This window comes from Homo sapiens, chromosome 1 (assembly GCF_000001405.40).
Source record: "Homo sapiens chromosome 1, GRCh38.p14 Primary Assembly".
NCBI lineage: Eukaryota > Metazoa > Chordata > Mammalia > Primates > Hominidae > Homo > Homo sapiens.
The window spans coordinates 218,484,794-218,497,801 of NC_000001.11; positions in this window are offsets into that span (position 1 = coordinate 218,484,794).

Below are 13,008 nucleotides of genomic sequence, written 5' to 3' on the forward strand. Positions count from 1 at the left end.
TACATACAATAATGTACAATGCATACTAGTTGATAATCATAATACGAAACTATGTTAGGGGTTTATGTATTTACTATGATTTCTTATCATTATTTTTGAGTGTACTCCTTCTACTTATTAAAAAAAGTTAACTGTAAAACAGGCTCAGGCAGGTCCTTTAGGAGTTATCCAGAGGAAGGCATTGTCATCATAGGAGATGACAGCTCCATGCGTGTTATTGCCCCTGAAGACCTTCCGCTGGGACAAGATGTGGAGGTGGAAGACAGCGATACGGATAGTCCTGTCCCTGTCACAGGTAGGCCTAGGCTACTGTGTATGTTTGTGATTTGTTTTTTAACAAAAAAGTTTAAAAAGTTAAAAAAAAATTTAAAAACATAAAAAAGCTTTTAGAACAAGGATATAAAGAAATTATTTTTGTACAGCAGTACAATGTGTTTGTGTTTTAAGCTCACTGATAATACAAAACAAAAAGTTAAAAAACTTAAAAAGTTTATAGAGTTAAAAAAGTTACAGTAAACTAAGGTTAATTTATTATTAAACAAAGAAAATGTTAAAAATAAATTTAGTGTAGCCTAAGTGTACAGTGCTCATGAAGCCTACAGTAGTGTACAGTAATGTCCTAGGCCTTCACATTCACTCACTGACTCACCCAGAGCAACCTCCAGTTCTGCAAGCTGCAGTCATGGTAAGTGACCTATACAGGTGTACCAATTTTTGTCTTTTATACCATATTTTTGCTGTACCTTTTCTATGCTAAATTTAAATAAACAAATTCCATTGTGTTACAGTTGTCTACAGTATTCAGTACAGTAATGTGTTGTACAAATTTGTAGACTAGGAGCAATAAACTATACCGTATATCCTAGCTGTGTAGCTAGGATAGTCGTAGCTGTTGCTGTGTAGATAGCTGTAGCTGTGTAGTAGGCTATACCTTCCAGGTTTGTGAAGTATGTGAAGGATGTTTACACAATGACAAAGTCACCTAACAGTGACATTTCTCAGAGAATATCTTGTTGTAAATGATGCATGAATGTACATACATATATATGTGTGTATATATATATATAATTTGTCTCACAAAATTTTAAGTTTAACTTTATAAAATAGTCATTTTTTCCATGTAATTACAAACTCCTAGTAATCATATTTTAATGGTTGAGTAATAATCCAACTTATTCTTATATCAGTCCTTATAGTAATATTTTTGTGTGTATTTCTGTATTTTTTAGTAGAGACAGGGTTTCACTGTGTTAGCCAGGATGGTCTCAATCTCCTGACCTCGTGATCCACCTGCCTCAGCCTCCCAAAGTGCTGGGATTACAGGCGTGAGCCACCACGCCTGGCCAGTAATTTCTTACTTTCTACCTAATATAAATAATTTAATAATGAGAATCTTTGTGCCAACATCCTCTTCTCTCTTCCTCTTTTCTATGTTTCCCTACTCACAACCATAATGGCAGCTACCAAGCAACTTTCCTAAAACATGTGCCTTGCCTTGATGCAAATCCGCAACATCAGCAAAACAAATTTAAATGCCTTAGCCTGGCATCCAATATACTTCATACGCTGATTCAGTCTACCTTCCAAGTCTCATCTTTGACCTCTCCTGTATTCTAAACTCCAGTCATACTCACAGCTTGGGAAAAGCCACATGCACTTGCAATTCTGCATAACTGTTCATGCCATTCCTTCTACCTAAAATGCTCTTCTCTCCATGCCTATCTGTGAAACTTCTGCCCAATGACCAATCCTCATTCCAAATTTCATTTTCTCTTTCAGCTCTTTCTAACCATATTAAGTTGCTGTGCCTCCTCACTCCTCTGTTTCTCTGAACTCAGACTGTCATGCTTGATTTTATGTTTCATTGTTGTATTTGTGTGTCTGGAACCGTTGGCTCAAAATGTTATTATAGAAGTGAATGAATTGTGTGTGTTTTATATACGTACCTACCACGTTACCTGAGGACAAGGCCTAAGATATATTTATCCATGTTGGCTACAGTGTCTACCAAGGTCCATGCATATATAGGTCCTTAATTTTCAAATAAATTAATCTGTGCTGCTTGGCTTGAGCCCAGGAAACTACAGGAATTTGTAGCTATATAGGCTGAAATTGGAACTACAAGTTCTTGGATTATTGATTATCTAAGGTTGCTAAATTGATGCTATGAAGGACTTCTGAAATATTAGGATATTTACTGAAGTACATAACTATGCTAATGTTACAGACTTCCTAAAACCATGTTATGATGGAACTGTATGGGAACTTTGCAGTCTCTGGATTTGACTATTTAATTTTTTTGATAAGAAAACGGGGCCAGGGAGGTGCCTGATGCCATCAGCCATCACTGTTAGAGCGAGGCATGGGTCGAAAGTCTGTGCTTCTGGTCCAGGGCTCAATTGCTGCAACTTACTGTCTTGATTTTCTCAGGGCAGTCCCTGTTTTGATCCTTTATAATTAAAAGGAAGATCATCTTCAAAAAAACAAAACTTATCTAATCAAATTTAAGTTACCGTTTGTGTCTGGCTTGGGAAAATGGGGCCAATACTCAGAACGTGTAGTTTCTTTTCAATTTAATTGTGATTATTCATGGCTCTTAATTTTGTGTTACTCCTATTAGACTAGGTATTTGCATTTGAAAGCAGGTACCTGATTCTTCGGGACACTTCAAAGGTCAAATTTCACTATTAAGCTACATTTCCCTCAAAATACATGTTTAGGCCAGGTGCGGTGGGTCACGCCTATAATCGCAGCACTATGGGAGGCCAAGGTGGCGGATCACGGATCACGAGGTCAGGAGATCGAGACCATCCTGGCCAACATGGTGAAACCCCTTCTCTACTGAAAATACAAAAATTAGCTAGGTGTGGTGGTGCATGCCTGTAGTCCCAGCTACTCAGGAGGCTGAGGCAGGAGAATCACTTGAACCCGGGAAGTGGAGGTTGCAGTGAGCTGAGATCGCACCACTGCACTCCAGCCTGGGTGACAGAGTGAGACTCCATCTCAAAAAAAAAAAAAAAAAAAAAAAAAAAAAAAAAAAAAAACCATGTTTAGGTGCCAGAAATTCCTTCTAGCTGAGTAATGAATGTTTCTGAGTATTAAATAATCACAGTCACTGGAAGTTAGAAAGGATCTTAAGACTATTGATCTCTGTGATCTTATTTTATATTCAGGGAACTGAATTTTAAAGAGGTAATGGCTTTCTGAAGGCTCCCATAGCAGTCAGGAGCAGGAACAGAAGTCTTTCCAAGATAACACTCAGTTATCATCATCTTTGGGTAAAGTCAGAGGAAAATGAAGGAAGGCTTTGCCCTTATGAGGGTTATATAACAATGTGATAGTTATTGGCCACCTCATTAGTTAACAAGCATAGTAGAGATATTTCCAATGGAAAACAAGCCAGATTCAGACATTGATACGACCTGGATGATTCAAAGATGAGTGTTAAGAGACATCAAGTAGGGTGATGATGGAGATGCAAGCTGTTATTAAAACAACCCCTTGCCTTGTCATGGCCACAGCCTTCAGTCAGTGAGCTCACAGAGGTCTGGCACTTTCTTCCATTTGGTATCTCCAGCATTTGGAACACTGTCTAGCTCACATTAGTGAATGTGTTTCGAATGAATGAAGGGTCTGATGAGAGAGAGGTGACTAAACAAGTATGGCTTTGTAATTAAGAAAAGAAAGGAAGAGAGAGAGAAAAAATAAATAAATAGCAAAAACCAAAACTCAAATATATTTTTGATACTGAGTTATAAACATATAGTGTCTCATTAAGGCTTTGTTAAGTAAATCTGGCTTGGGAAATTGTACTTCAATCACTTAGATATGAAATACGAGGGAAAGATGAGTAAACTACACAGTATTGACCACACAAACAGTGAGTGAGAGACCAGATACAATCTACCCAAAGCTGGACTCCTGGGTATATATTTGCCCAATTATTTATTTATTCATTCATTCATACAACACCTGCATAAGTGCCATTTGGTTCGATACAAAACTGACAAGGTGACTACTTTTAAGGAGCTCACCATGTATCTACTCCAAATATATTCAGCGACTTCCCTCTCCACCCCCACTCTAAATGTGTATGTTCTATAGCATAAAATAAAATGAGAAAATACTAAAAAGACAACATTTTAAGGGAGTTTGATACTATTCTTTATGTGTTGTCAATAGGAATTTAAGGATGCCCACTTAATTCGTGATTTTGTCCCCAGACCTGGGAATTCACAAATGATTCTGGAATTTCCTTCAAACAAGATACCTTTCCTCCAAAGGCATTTGTACATCTCAGGAATGTAGTTAGTGGCAGCTGCTCCCCCCCCCCCCACCCCCGCCACCAACCAGGTCTAATGTCATAAACTCTGCAGGAATCCTGTCTGTGGTTCTGCACATTCAGGACTCGCAATCAGTCCTTACATGGGCAAAAGCTTGTTTGCTCTGCACTTGCATTAACCTCAGATCAGTTAAGCAAACCCAAAAACACAATGGCTTGGGTATAAGATACCATTCTACTTAGAGTGGCCTAAGATTTCTAAAAATGCCCACAGCAAGCAACTCAGGATGACTACCCAAAATGTAGATAGAGTAATAGGGAGATGTGTTCTAGCTAAAATCAACCAATAAACAGAAAACTGGTAACCCATGTCTGATGTTCTAATCCAATGTTGTTGTTGTTTTTATTTCATTGTTCTTGGTGAATTCTATTGAAAAGCAAAGATTCTTTTCAAATTCAAAGAAATTTTATTATATTATACAATGACTGTGTAAAAATTAAGATTATATAGTGAAGCACACTGAGCAGGGATGATAAATAAAATATTTCACTAGAAATGCATTCAACAGTCAGAACAGATACTGACCATAGACAACTGCTATGTTTGTACTGGTGCATATTAATACCAGCCCTGCTTCTGTGCTGAGCTCACTGATTTGTGTTACATGAAAATCACACTATATATCTCTTACAGGTGAAGATCAACACATAAAACATCTAAATTACATTTAATGCCCATTATACAGGTGAATAACAACATCAAACACAAGAATATTTATTCTTTGTCCCAACTTCATCCATTTCATCTTCTCTACTAGACTATTTCTATTAATATAAAAGCATATTGTATATTATGTCTTCCTAGTTAAAAAAACACAAAAAAAAGCCCAAAGCAAAATATTTCCTTTATACTATACTATCCTCTGTCTACTCTGTTCTACTTCTTTTCCTTATAGCAGAATTTCTGGAAATAATTTTTTCACACTCACTGTCTTCCTTTCTCTTTCTTTTACTTGCTCCTGAATCTCCTTTAATTGGGCTTTCCTCCCTCTTCTGAAAATGCTCTCATTAAAGTTACCAGGGTCATGCTCATTGCCAAATCAATGGGCACCTCTCAGACCTCCTCCGTGTGAATGTTTGCAGTATTCAATGCAGTTGCAGTTGGTTTCACTCTCCTTATTGAAGCATTCTTCTTAGCCTTCTTTGCTGAATCCTTCACTTTTCAGTTTTGAATGACATGTACACTCTTGGAGATCTCATCCAACTCCCAGACTTCAGTGACTACTTCTACAGAAACCTCCCCAACAGGGAGGCCTTCCTTGACCACGCACCCTGCAGTAGCAACCATTGCCTGTCTTTAGTCTCTTGCTCTGATTTGTTTTTCTTCATAGCACTTATTACTACCTACTGTTCTATGATCTATCTAGCTTATCTCTATTGTTTGCCTATTGTCTGTCTCCTCTGCCAGAATACAGCTCCAGAGGATAGAAACTATCTTGTTTACTGATGTTATTTTAATACCTGAAAAAAGTGCCTGTCCCAGAGTATGGACTCACTAAATACTTGCTGAGTAAATAAATGAATGTTCACAAATGGGGACTAAAAGGCTAACAAGCAAGATCTTTTTCACGCTATGTAAATTTATGAAAAGTGACCTTATTTTAATTTGCAATGGCAAATTATGGAAGGGCTTGGTCAGGTCTGCCATGGGTCAAATCCAGCCATGCTTGCTTGCTTGCTTGCTTGCTTGCTTGCTTGCTTGCTTGCTTGCTTGCTTTTTCTTTCCTTCCTTCCTTCCTTCCTTCCTTCCTTCCTTCCTTCCTTCCTTCCTTCCTTCCTTCTTTCTTTTCTTTTCTTTTCTTTTCTTTTTTTTTTGAGACAGCGTTTCACTCTGTCGCCCAGGCTGGCGTGCAGTGGTGCGATCTCAGCTCATTGCAACCTCTGCCTCCCAGGTTCGAGCGATTGTCCTGCCTCAGCCTCCGGAATAGCTGGGACTACAGGAGCATGCCACCATGCCTGGCTAAATTTTTGTATTTTTAGTAGAGACAGGGTTTCACCATGTTGGCCAGGCTGGTCTCTAACTCCTGACCTCAAGTTATCCACCCACCTCAGCCTCTCAAAGTGCTGGGATTACAGGTATGAGCCACCGTGCCTGGCCTACACATTTCTTTTACATATTGTCTGTGACTGCTTTCCCATTGCAGTGACACAATAGAGTAGTAAAGGCAGAGATAATGTATGGCCCACAAAGCCAAAAATACTTACTACCTGGGACTTTCCAGAAAAAGTTTGTTGGCCCCTGGTTTATTATACACATTAGGTAGGCAGTAAAATGTAAAGGTTAAGAGTATAGCTCTGGAGCCAGATGTCCTAGGTTCAAATGCCATTTCCTCCTTTGCCCTGCTGCAGCCTTAGTTAAGTCACCTCTCCTCATTCTGTCTCAGTTTTCTCAACCATTAAATGGAGATAACACCAATACTAACCACACTGGGTGGTTGTGAAGATAAAATGAGTTAATACTTGTGAAATACTTAAAATCTTCCAGAAATATACTCATGAATATTACTGTATGGTGAGAAAGTAATTGAAACTGGTTTGAAAGAATTGAGGGCAGGTATATCAAAGTGTAGCTATGTGCATTTAATTTATCCTGACAGACATATTACAAACGACTAAGTTCATTTCCCTCCTTCACTGGTTCATTCTGTTGGATCTTGGGTTAGTTGGTATGAACAGATACATTTTCCTTCTGTTGCAGATGGAAAAATTTACACGTAGACTGTGTTTTTCCTTAACTAATTTTTGCGGGATACATACAAAAAGCAAATAATCGGTGTGTCATCTACTGTCTGTTTTGATGGAATTTGGGAAAAAACTCAGCTGAAATCAGACAGACAGGCACTGTGTGGGAGTCTCTATGACGATTTGTCTGGTGGTCCCCTTTTCACTGGATTTTACCCTGTTAGGTGGACAGTGTCAAAGGCATCCTAGGATGACTCCCCAAGCATCCTCGTAAATTTCCTCCTCTGGTCTTGGTCTTCACACTTGGAATCTCTGGTGTGATTTGTCCTGTCTGCTCTTCAGTGTCCAGGTCAAGTTCTTCCTCTTCTGGGATGGCTTCCAGTGAGCTCTCCATTCTGTCAATGCCTGTGACCCATTCACTTGTCCCCTAGCTGAAGGCACTTGTTAACTTTTTAATTTTTAATCTTCTAAAAAACATCCTATTTTCACTAACTAGAGTTCTATTTGATTGAGGTAAGGGATTGAACCTTCCTCCTTGGTATGCTCAGCACGTAAGAAGAGTGCCCTACACAAAGCATCTGCTTGGAATTGGCTACCATCGATCTATCAATGGAAATTCTTTTTTTGTTTGTTTGTTTTTGAGACATAGTCTCACTCTGTCGCCCAGGGTGGAGTACAGTGGCATCATCATAGCTCACGGCCCTCATGAACTACTGGCCTCAAGGGATCCTCTAAAAGTGCTTGGTTTAACAGGCATGAACCACTATGCCCAGCTAATTGACAGTAGTTCTTAATGTGGTTTCTGGGGTGCAGCACCTGCCAATGTCTTCTGCCTCCTGCATCTTGTTCTCACGTTCTGTGCTCTGGCTATCACGCTCCAACCTTCCATGCTCACGTCCTCCTCATGCTAGTCCCTATGTCTGAATTGCCCTCTCCTCATCTTCACATTGTCAACTGCCAGTCATCTTTCAGATATGAGTTCAACAGTCACTGCTTCAAGGAAGCTTCTGGAACAGGTTTTCTCACTGTAGACCAAGACCATGTTGGGGCCTCTCCTCAGACTGCTCTGCCTTTTCCTTCATGGTACCATCATATCCATAGTTATAGACTGAATTTTTATGTGGTTATCTGGTGAATGTCTATCTCTTCTACTAGAGTGAGCTCTCCATGATGAAGAACAACGTTTGCTTAAATGACATTTTATCTCCAAGATCTAGTGTAGTGATTGACTCATAGTTTTTGAATGAATGAGCAGTGAGTAGCTGACAAAGATAAGGGGATTATTACACTCTTGCATAGTGGGAAAATGTATTCCATAAAATTTTGCTGACTCTCTTCCATGTGCCAGTGCTGCGCTGGGTGTTGGGGATGCAGCACAGAACAAAGTAGGGGTGGGAAGAGGTGAGATGCAAATGCACAACTTTCCACTTTATATCTGTGCTTAGTCCAGTGGACAGCGAGGGTTTCTCTCTTAGTGAGCCTGGCTTGGCTTCCCAGGTGTAGAGAAAGCAACTATTTTGTCTAGAATTTTCTGTCATGGTTTCCCAATATGGTCATTAGTGAGAAGGTATTAAGTCTGCAAAACTGAGGCTTTATACCAGGTACCCCTCAAAGTCACTATGGCCAATTAAGAGCTTTTTATGCAAGAAGGACATTTTCTAATTGGCTTATATCTTTCTTCTCTCCACATTCCAATCCATCTAATATTAAACACCAGCAATTGTGCTGCTTTTTCTATTATCCATACTTTACTAATTATTTGCCCTCATACACTGCTAATTATGAGTTTTGTTTAATCCTTTCTGTTCAAATTTGCATACGTAGTATTCTTATTTTTTTCCTCTCAAATGACCATTGTGTTAAAACATGTACAAGGCAGTCATACTACAAGCTATTAGGGTAATTAATCTAGTTTCCATTTCTGTTTGCCTGTTTGTTTTATTGCACTGACTAGCGTTACAGGTGAAGGATAGAAACTTCACTGAATCTGGACTTACATGTATTCCTTTAAGCACAATGTCCAGTACAGCTCCATTGTATAAAAGCACCAATATCTGATAATAAGGTGTCATAAGTCACAGAATCCCATAATGACAAGATACTTGGGGACAATCTATCTGGTTCCCTTATTTTGCAGATGAGAAAACAGAGATCCATTGAGATTAGATAACATGTCTTTTGAATCTGGGACAAAATCCCAGGTTCTCCTGATTCCCATTCCATGTGCTTTTGATATTTCATTCTATTCTTCATACTACTTTTCAAATCTTTATGAAGTGAGAGATTTCCCCTTACTAGCAAGAGTAGACCTTTGACCAAAAAGCTGAAAAAGAGAAGTGCTGTTAAAACCTCCCTCTGTGCTTTTGTGCCACAAGGCCTTTTTCACATCGTTTAGAGAAAGGAGATTGCATTGCAGGTTGCTCCTTTGTGGCATTTAGGGATCATTTCTCTGTGAGAATAAGACCCTCAGTGGAACTGTTGATTGCGTGGTATATGGTGATTGATGGATATCAATTTCTGCTTACATATCTCTGCTCTATGACATCATGCATTTGGAGACATGCCTCCAAACACACAAGGTTGGCCAAGGGAAAGAAAGACATTTCTCAGCCCAGCCTGTTGACTAAATAGCCATTATATTCTTGAAACCAAGATGATATTGTTTCTCTGAGCTTTTTCTCAGGTTGCTACCCTCAGCTTGGTCTGGAGGCACTAAGAATGCTTTTGCTATACTACTTGAACATGCCCAGTTGCAACTTCTGAGTTTCGTTAGTGGCTTACCAACAACTTTCTGGCACAAAACAAAAGAATGCCTTCCTGAATGGTAAGTCGGGAAAGCCCAGCACCTGCTCTGCCTTTGTATTCTCCCCTCCAGCACCCTGGGGATAACTGCTTTGCAGAACAGGAGCTGGTCTGTGCTGGCTGCCAAATGGAGAACCCTGATTAGAATAATGCCCAGCAGGTTTCTGCTCTCTCTTCTCCTTTCCCACCCTTAAACAAACTAGAGGATGGCTGTTGCTAAGGGCCAAAATAACAAGACCTGCGTGCTTTTAACCGTTATTTTAACAATTAAATTAACGGCTTTTTAATTGTTATTTGGAAGTCCATGAACCGTCATCCACGGGAAGGAAAATTCAAGATACTGGAAAAGTTAAGGTAACTTCCTGAACTTAAAGAAAGAGAGCAATTTATTCAAAGAATGAACAAGGAATAAATACATTTATATCTGAGAAGAAACATTCTCTGTTTTAACTAATATTGGCCAGATCAGACAGTGTGTGAGTGTGGTCAGTAATCCAGTCAAAGTGGGTGATTTAAACACTGTTTTAAATTAGGATTTGAACTTGGGGCTAGGTGGGGCTTTGACTCTTTTAGTATCTTTACTTTTTCTCATTATATAGATGAGGGAGCTGCTTCTCCGGGCTTCTTCTTTCTTCCCTTTCCTTCCATTCCTCTCGCATCCTCTTCTCCTCCTAAAGCTTAAGCAGAGCCCGAGTTGGGGAATAAACAGCAACTACTGAAGTGTCCATTGTTCCCCCACTTCAAGTCCTGCATAAATGTAATGATGGTAGTTCCCAAACAAAATACTTCCTCACTGACCAGACACAATCTATGTAGGGTCAAAGGGCCCTCTGAAGGTTTGCTGAAAAATCAACTCTTGAAAGGCAGACTGATAGGAGAAAAGGTATACAAATTTATTTAACATGCATACATGGAGGGTCTTCAGAATGAACACCCAAGGATACAGAGGAAATCGTCCATTTTTATGCTTGGGTTAAACAAAATATGGACAGCCGTGTAGAAATATGATTAGGCAAAAGGGTTATGGTCTAACGCTAATAGACTGAGTGGGGAAATCCAGCAAGGCCTGTCTGCCTAGATTCTTCTCGGCCTCTCTGATCATCCCTTCTTTCCTTTTAAAAAGGTGGGGTGGGGCCCTTTCTGGAATGGGGGTCTTATGACCTACAGTCAAACAAGGTAGGTCAGATCATTTCTTTATGGCCAGGTTTTACACAGAAAGGGAGAGGGAAAATGAGAATAATATTTTTAGGTCTTATGGCTGGCTTTGGGGCAAAGGGGTTTTGTCCTGGAGACCCGCTAGAAAAGAGGGATTCCAGTTTCTATGCTAGCCTTAGGAGAGAATAAGAGTGAGACAGGAGGGCAGGAGAAGGTCAGAGAAAAACGTCTGCTTTCTGAGGCTGTTGCTGAGGCTGTCGTTTTGGGGTATTCTTTCTTGAGGCCCAACATCTATACAGATTTCAGTAGATAACATGTGTCAACTGAAAATGCTTTTCACGTGAAAATTCCAATGACAGGTCATTTAAGAATTCTAAAAATACTGTCTATCTTCTCTTATGCATTCTTTCTTGGGGACACATTTTTGTAAGAAAATGTGAACTCAATAGGAAAGTTAGACACAAGTAAGTTAGAAGAGTTAGATATGTAATGAAGTCAAAGGAGAGGCAAAAAACTATCTGTATTTTTTGTTGGTATTCAACCAACAAAAAAGCTAAAAGTATAACAAAATAAAAACAAAAATCTTAGAAGATAGTGTCTTTATCATCCAGAGTGGTCAAGCTGTAATCTTGGCCAAAGAAGTAAAGGTGCATTAGAATGGAATATTACCTTGTTCTGTCTATAAATTGTTTTATTTTTTTTTTCTTTGGATGAGATCAGATACTTCTTAGAACACAACTTGATGAGGTCTTGTTAGAATAGAGAGGAATGGAGAAGCAGAGGGCATTAGGATATTGGAAAACATTGCAAGACCCAGCAGTTTTAAAAGCACTTTTTTCCCCATCCCTATAAAAAAAAAAAAAAAAAAGAGAGAGAGAGAGAGGGAGCGAGAGGGAGATGATCTCATTCGATCCTGTGAAGGACTGCTACTCAGTAAGGAAGAAGTCCTGGGCAGTGTGAATCAGTTCAAGTCAACATCAGTGATGACTTATGTTCTGGGCATTTAGGGGAGGGTGGAATTCCAGACCATCCTGCTGGTAACCTCAGAAGGCTTGTGCTCACAGTGACTGTATCCCTTAAGGCAGTTAGAGGCTGAGAATGTAGATGGAGTAATGATGATACAAATGTTACTAAACTTTGTCCTCTGAGAGGAGCCTGGAGTGTTGCAGTATAGGAAGCTGTTGATTATCAAATGATTTTTCCCTCTTGGAACCTTAAGAAGAAAACACTAGTGTGTGTCTTCAGTAAGTCCTCTGATTTATAGGGCGCTGATAATTGATTCAAGAAAAAGAAAGTATAGATTTATATATACACACACATATAATACCTATGCATGTATATCATATGTATATGCATGTTTATGTATGCTTTGTGTATGTGTAAACATCTTTTGGTAAAACTTATTAATGAAATATGAAGTTGATGTAAATATCTTTGGGCTGAAAACAGTTCATATATATATAACAATTAATAAGGGCATAATTTTTCACTTTGCAAAACATTTTTTTCCTTCACAAAATGATTCCTCACAAGATTATAAATGAATGAACTAATAAACTTCCACATGTCTCTTAAAATAGGATTTGCTATATTAGTATTTATTATAATAATAATAAAATTAACATTTTTAAACCTTTTGTGCCAAGTACTGAGCTGAGGGCTTTATGTGAACTACCTCATTTCTGTCTCCCAGTCACGCTAGGATGTAAGGTAACATCATTATCCTCTGCATTTGAAAACTTGAGGTTTACACCTGTTCCCAAAAATCTATTGAAATAAAATAAAAATTAAAAAAATTTTAAAAAGATATTCAGCCTAGTTGAAAAGCAAACAAACAAACAAACCCTTGAGGTTTAGAAAATTTCATAACTCTCCCAGAGTCACACCTTAATAAGAGATGTAGCTGGGATTCTGACCCCATAGCCTGTACCTCCCTCTTCTCAACAGTATTTCTATATTTTGGGATACCATGACTCTTATGCAAAGCAACTCATCTGTACAAATAGCTTGGGCCAAAGCAATCAATC